Genomic DNA, 8,046 nt, shown 5'->3' on the forward strand with positions numbered 1-8,046 from the left:
AGTTTCTTTCCAGATTTAATAAACAGCTTTCAAAAGGGGTATAAAAGTGTCTGCTCAAAAGCCTGCAGTCTGTTATTTGTGGAAGTGCCTGTGGATTCACAGACCTGTTTCCAGAGGGTTGGATTATCATCTTGTGATAACTCATTGCTCAGCACTGAGTAATACAGTTCTGTGGGCAAACAAAAAAGCCATTCTTTTTTGGTGACAAAAGATGAAGCTAGTTATTAACAATTTGATACAAAAGAAGTAAAAAGGACTGGAAATGAGGAGTCAAGCCAGGTTTGGCATCTATTATTCACACAAAACCTTCTAGTAATGACAACTACCCCAATCATAGAAAACTCCTATTCAGAGGACTCATTATCTTGCTTCACTGTCAAAAGTATAGATGATAGATAACATCCAATGACTGTCAAAATTAAAATCAAATCAATTTTAATGAAAGAAAATAGACCATTTCTGTCTGTTGATTCCAGGGAAAATGTAGGATGATGAATTTCTGAAACCCTTAATTTATCATTTCACCCTAAAAAGTACCTGTTTTTGCAAATACTTTCTATATTGTCAACATCCTTTAAGAAAAAAAAAAAAGAAGTATATCTGCTTAAATACTAAGCACTATTTCTCTGAATTCCAGTCTACTGAGTTTATTCCCAGAGACATTTTTTTCTATATTATCTCAGAGTTGCAGGCTTCATCAAAGGTCATCAGATCCACTGATTTTTGTCAAATATCCCCATGTTATTTCATCTGATAAACTATAATTTGCTATTGGCCTTTTGAAATTTTAAAGAATGGGAAACAATAGCTGTTTTTTTCTAAAATAAACAACAACCTCCACTAAAAATTAAACAAAACTCAAACAAATAAAAATCAAAGGAAAAATATGAGAAGCTCACAATTCAGAAGGCTTAATCTCATTTAATAGTTAATCTGTATTTCTTTTTATTTATTTTCCACGTGAATACGGGGCCAAATTCTCCATAAACGTTAACATAATGAGAACAAAGGAACACATGTGACAATTTCCTTCTGAAGTTAATATTTTAAAAATGAATTTATCTCATATCGCAAAGATCATACACTATTTACAAACAGTGGAAGGCTGAAGCCAACCATGTCTATTAGCCAGATGTTATTTTACTATTCTTTTAAAGGAATACTTAATTTTATGACACCACTGTGGCCCTTCAGAACTGTGGAGGACATGAATGTATTAATATAATGCATTTTTCTGTTTCTTGAAATATGTAGAAAACAAAACACCAAAATAAGTGAGTATCAGATGGCTGGGCCCACGGTTCCATGTGCCTTACCACAGCAGATCTGAACCCTAAGCAGCATTTTATTTATTAGTGTCATTACTTTATTTATCCCTAGTATGGCTCAGGAACAAATACTTTGATGTTTTCACATTTCCACAGCAGATAAGTGACCAGCATGGTTCTTGTCGAATGAAAGGCAGTCAGTATATACTGGCAAAAAAAAATGGATCTGAGAGAGAAAGCAACCAAAATAAACTAATTTGAATAACACCCTACATTGCTCCCAGTCATCTCAATGTCTTCGTTTTTAAAAGGGCTAGTACCCCATGTTTGGTGATTGCAGCCTATGTCTCGATACCCTCTGTCCCTGAAGGTTCAGACAACCTCTGAAGCTACTATTTACTGCGAGCACTTGGCTTAAAGATGTAGCAAAAGGTTTGGCTAAAAGTTTATCTGAATCAGCTATTTTAGAAATAATTTATGAGTAAATACCTACTCTAATGTTTGTGTAATAAAATGTATATATATATTTTCCATGTTAGAAGCCTACCAAGGGGATCAATGCTAGTGATTTAAAGACACTGAGTTTCAGGAAGCTCCTATAAATCTGTTACTATGACACTAGTACTTCAGTAGGAAAATAAGGAAAGGGCATTAATGGACTGGTTACTGAGGAGTAAAAAAAAGTACAGTGTAGTTCCCATATTACTTTTCTGTGCAGATGCTACATATAAAATGAAATAGTCAGTTTTGCCAGTAATAAAAATCATAAATAAAAGCAAAATACAATTTTTGGATAACAGAATAGCAAGTGATTATTTTCTTTTTCCCTTATTTTTCCTCCTTTCTTCCTTCTTCCTTCCTTCCTTTTTCCCTGCTATATTTTTCTTGCTTTTTGTTGATAGATGGAAACTAAGTTGGTTCAAACTTTTTGAATAGTCATTTAACATCTTCCAAAAGCTTTTAAATGTTCATCATTACAGGTGAAAATGGGCATTCGAATACTCTATTCATCAGAGTATAACATTAAAAAAAACTTCAAAAATGAAAATTTAGAAATATATTTTAGTACTTCAAATGTTTACATCTATTGAACATTTCCACTTACATTAGTTTTTTCTAAAAGAAAATAGTCTCGCAAATGTGCAAGGGTACATAATGGAGAGAATCTGATAACAATCCCAACATCTATCAATCAGTAAAGGAAGTGTTAAATGAAACTCTAGTTCATCCGTAAAATGTAATAGTAGGCAGGGATTATGAAACTAACACATCTGAGTATATTGATGGAAACATTGTTCAATATATAATGGCAAATTGAAAAATAAAAAGTAAATTGCAAAACAGTATCCTAAAGGTAGTCTAATTTTTAAATTTTAATATTAAGAATAATAGGGGGAGGTTTCAAGATGGTCGAATAGGAACAGCTCCAGTCTACAGCTCCCAGCATGAGTGATGCAGAAGATGGGTGATTTCTGCATTTCCAACTGAGGTTCCAAGTTCATCTCACTGGGGCTTGTCAGACAGTGGGTGCAGGACAGTCGGTGCAGCCCACAGACCATGAGCCAAAGCAGGACGAGGAGTCGCCTCACCCAGGAAGTGCAAGGGGTAGGGGAATTCCCTTTCCTAGCCAAGGGAAGCCGTGACAGACGGCACCTGGAAAATTGGGTCACTCCCACCCTAATACTGCGCTTTTCCAATGGTCTTAGCAAACGGCATACCAGATTATATCCCGTGCCTGGCTTGGAGGGTCCCATGCCCACGGAGGCTTGCTCACTGCTAGCACAGCAGTCTGGGATCAAACTGCAAGGCCGCAGTGAGGCTGGGGGAGGGGTGCCCGCAATTGCTGAGGCTTGAGTAGGTAAACAAAATGGCCAGGAAGCTCGAACTGCATGGAGCCCACTGCAGCTCAAGGAGGCCTACCTGCCTCTGTAGACTCCACCTCTGGGGGCAGGGCATAGCTGAACAAAAGGCAGCAGAAATTTCTGCAGACTTAAATGTTCCTGTCTGACAGCTTTGAAGAGAGTAGTGGTTCTCCCAGCATGGAGTTTGAGATCTCAGAACAGACAGACTGCCTCCTCAAGTGGGTCCCTGACCCCTGAGTAGCCTAACTGGGAGACACCTCCCAGTAGGGGCCGACTGACATCTCATATGGTCAGGTGCCCCTCTGAGTTGAAGCTTCCAGAGCAACAATCAGACAGCAACATTTGCCACTCTGCAATATTTGCAGTTCTGCAGCTTCCGCTGGTGATACCCAGGCAAACAGGGCCTGGAGTGGACCTCCAGCAAACTCCAACAGACATGCACCTGAGGGTCCTGACTGTTAGAAGGAAAACTAACAAACAGAAAGGACATCCACACCAAAAACCCATCTGTATGTCACCATTATCAAAGACCAAAGGTAGATAAAACCACAAAGATGGGGAGAAACCAGAGAAGAAAACCTGAAAATTCTAGAAATCAGAGCGCCTCTTCTCCTCCAAAGGAACGCACCTCCTCATCAGCAATGGAACAAAGCTGGACAGAGAATGACTTTGACGAGTTGAGAGAAGAAGGCTTCAGATGATCAAACTTCTCTGAGCTAAAGGAGGAAGTTCAAACCCATTGCAAAGAAGTTAAAAACCTTGAAAAAAAATTAGACGAATGGCTAACTAGAATAACCAATGCAGAGAAGTCCTTAAAGGACCTGATGGAGGTGAAAACTATTGCACGAGAACTACGTGAAGAATGCACAAGCCGCAGTGGCCGATGTGATCAACTGAAAGAAAGGGTATCAGTGATGGAAGATGAAATGAATGAAATGAAGTGAGAAGAGAAATTTAGAGAAAAAAGAATAAAAAGAAATGATCAAAGCCTCCAAGAAATATGGGACTATGTGAAAAGACCAAATCTACATCTGATTGGTGTACCTGAAAGTGACGGGGAGAATGGAACCAAGCTGAAAAGCACTCTGCAGGATACTATCCAGAAGAACTTCCCCAACCTAGCAAGGCAGGCCAACATTCAAATTCAGGAAATACAGAGAAAGCCACAGAGATACTCTTCGAGAAGAGCAACTCCAAGACACATAATTGTCAGATTCACCAAAGTTGAAATGAAGGAAAAAATGTTAAGGGCAGCCAGAGAGAAAGGTCAGGTTACCCACAAAGGGAAGCCCATCAGACTAACAGGAGATCTCTCAGCAGAAACTCTACAAGCCAGAACAGAGTGGGGGCCAATATTCAACATTCTTAGAGAAAAGAATTTTCAAACCAGAATTTCATATCCAGCCAAACTAAGCTTCATAAGTGAAGGAGAAATAAAATACTTTACAGACAAGCAAATGCTCAGAGATTTTGTCACCACCAGGCCTGCCCTAAAAGAGCTCCTGAAGGAAGCACTAAACATGGAAAGGAACAACCAGTACCAGCCACTGCAAAAACATGTCAAATTGTAAAGACCACTGATGCTAGGAAGAAACTGCATCAACTAATGAGCAAAATAACCAGCTAACATCATAATGACAGGATCAAATTCAAAAATAACAATATTAACCTTAAATGTAAATGGGCTAAATGCTCCGATTAAAAGACACAGACTGGCAAATTGGGTAAAGAGTGAAAACCCATCAGTGTGCTGTATTCAGGAAACCCATCTCACGTGCAGACACACACATAGGCTCAAAATAAAGGAATGGAGGAAGATCTACCAAGCAAATGGAAAACAAACAAAAGCAGGGGTTGCAATCCTAGTCTCTGATAAAACAGACTTTAAACCAAACAAGATCAGAAGAGACAAAGAAGGCCATTACATAATGGTAAAGGGATCAATTCAACAAGAAGAGCTAACTATCCTAAATATATATGCACCCAATACAGGAGCACCCAGATTCATAAAGCAAGTCCTGAGAGACCTAAAAAGAGACTTAGACTCCCGCACAATAATAATAGGAGACTTTAACACCCCATTGTCAACATTAGACAGATCCACAAGACAGAAAGTTAACAAGGATATCCAGGAAATGACCTCAGCTCTGCACCAAGCAGACCTAATAGACATCTGCAGAACTCTCCACCCCAAATCAACAGAATATACATTCTTCTCAGTGCCACATCACACTTATTCCAAAATTGACCACATAGTCGGAAGTAAAGCACTCCTCAGCAAATGTAAAAGAACAGAAATTATAACAAACTGTCTCTCAGACCACAGTGCAATCAAATTAGAACTCAGGATTAAGAAACTCACTCAAAACCGCTCAACTACATGGAAACTGAACAACCTGCTCCTGAATGACTACTGGGTACATAACAAAATGAAGGCAGAAATAAGGATGTTCTTTGAAACCAACAAGAACAAAGACACAACATACCAGAATCTCTGGGACACATTCAAAGCAGTGTGTAGAGGGAAATTTATAGCACTAAATGCCCACAAGAGAAAGCAGGAAAGATCCAAAATTGACACCCTAACATCACAATTAAAAGAACTAGAGAAGCAAGAGCAAACACATTCAAAAGCTAGCAGAAGACAAGAAATAACTAAGATCAGAGCAGAACTGAAGGAAATAGAGACACAAAAAACCCTTCAAAAAATTAATGAATCCAGGAGCTTGTTTTTTGAAAACATTAACAAAATTGATAGACTGCTAGCAAGAGTAATAAAGAAGAAAAGAGAGAAGAATCAAATAGATGCAATAAAAAATGATAAAGGGGATATCACCACCAATCCCACAGAGACACAAACTACCATCAAAGAATACTATAAGCACCTCTATGCAAATAAACTACAAAATCTAGAAGAAATGGATAAATTCCTGGACACATACACCCTCCCAAGACTAAACCAGGAAGAAGTTGAATCCCTGAATAGAACAATAACAGGCTCTGAAATTGAGTCAATAATTAAGAGCTTACCAACCAAAAAAAAGTCCAGGACCAGATGGATTCACAGCCAAATTCTACCAGAGGTACAAGGAGGAGCTGGTACCATTCCTTCTGAAACTATTCCAATCAATAGAAAAAGAGGGAATCCTCCCTAACTCATTTTATGAGGCCAGCATCATCCTGATACCAAAGCCTGGCAGAGACACAACAAAAAAAGAGAATTTTAGACCAATATCCCTGATGAACATTGATGCAAAAATCCTCAATAAAATACTGGCAAACCGAATCCAGCAGCACATCAAAAAGCTTATCCACCATGATCAAGTGGGCTTCATCCCTGGGATGCAAGGCTGGTTCAACATATGCAAATCAATAAACATAATCCATCATATAAACAGAAGCAAAGACAAAAAGAACATTATCATCTCCATAGATGCAGAAAAGGCCTTTGACAAAATTCAACAACCCTTCATGCTAAAAACTCTCAATAAATTAGGTATTGATGGGATGTATCTCAAAATAATAAGAGCTATGTATGACAAACCCACAGCCAATATCATACTGAATGGGCAAAAACTGGAAGCATTCCCTTTGAAAACTGGCACAAGACAGGGATGCCCTCTCTCACCACTCCTATTCAACATAGTGTTGGAAGTTCTGGCCAGGGCAATCAGGCAGGAGAAAGAAATAAAGGGTATTCAATTAGGAAAAGAGGAAGTCAAATTCTCCCTGTTTGCAGACGACATGATTGTATATTTAGAAAACCCCATCGTCTTAGCCCAAAATCTCCTTAAGCTGATAAGCAACTTCAGCAAAGTCTCAGGATACAAAATCAATGTGCAAAAATCACAAGCATTCTTATACACCAATAACAGACAAACAGAGAGCCAAATCATGAGTGAACTCCCATTCACAGTTGCTTCAAAGAGAATAAAATACCTAGGAATCCAACTTACAAGGGATGTGAAGGACCTCTTCAAGGAGAACTGCAACCCATTGCTCAATGAAATAAAAGAAGACACAAACAAATGGAAGAACATGCCATGCTCATGGATAGGAAGAATCAATATCGTGAAAATGGCCATACTGCCCAAGGTAATTTATAGATTCAATGACATCCCCATCAAGCTACCAATGACTTTCTTCACAGGATTGGAAAAAACTACTTTAAAATTCATATGGAACCAAAAAAGATCCCACGTTGCCAAGACAATCCTAAGCCAAAAGAACAAAGCTGGAAGCATCACACTACCTGACTTCAACCTATACTACAAGGCTACAGTAACCAAAACAGCATGGTACTGGTACCAAAATGGAGACATAGAAAAATGAAACAGAACAGAACCCTGAGAAATAATACCACACATCTACAACCATCTGATCTTTGACAAACCTGACAAAAACAAGCAATGGGGAAAGGATTCCCTGTTTAATAAATGGTGCTGGGAAAACTGGCTAGCCATATGTAGAAAACTGAAACTGGACCCCTTCCTTACACCTTATACAAAAATTAATTCAAGATGGATTAAAGACTTAAATGTCAGACCTAAAACCATAAAAACCCTAGAAGAAAACCTAGGCAATACCATTCAGGACACAGGCATGGGCAAGGACTTCATGTCTAAAACACCAAAAGCAATGGCAACAAACGTCAAAATTGAGAAATGGAATCTAATTAAACTAAAGAGCTTCTGCACAGCAAAAGAAACTACCAACAGAGTGAACAGGCAACCTACAAAATGGGAGAAAATTTTTGCAATCTACTCATCTGACAAAGTGCTAATATCTAGAATCTACAAAGAACTTAAACAAATTTACAAGAAAAAATCAAACAACCTCATCAAAAAGTGGGTGAAGGATATGAACAGACACTTCTCGAAAGAAGACATTTATGCAGCCAACAGACACATGAAAAA

Source organism: Homo sapiens, chromosome 6 (genome assembly GCF_000001405.40).
Source record: "Homo sapiens chromosome 6, GRCh38.p14 Primary Assembly".
Classification (NCBI taxonomy): domain Eukaryota; kingdom Metazoa; phylum Chordata; class Mammalia; order Primates; family Hominidae; genus Homo; species Homo sapiens.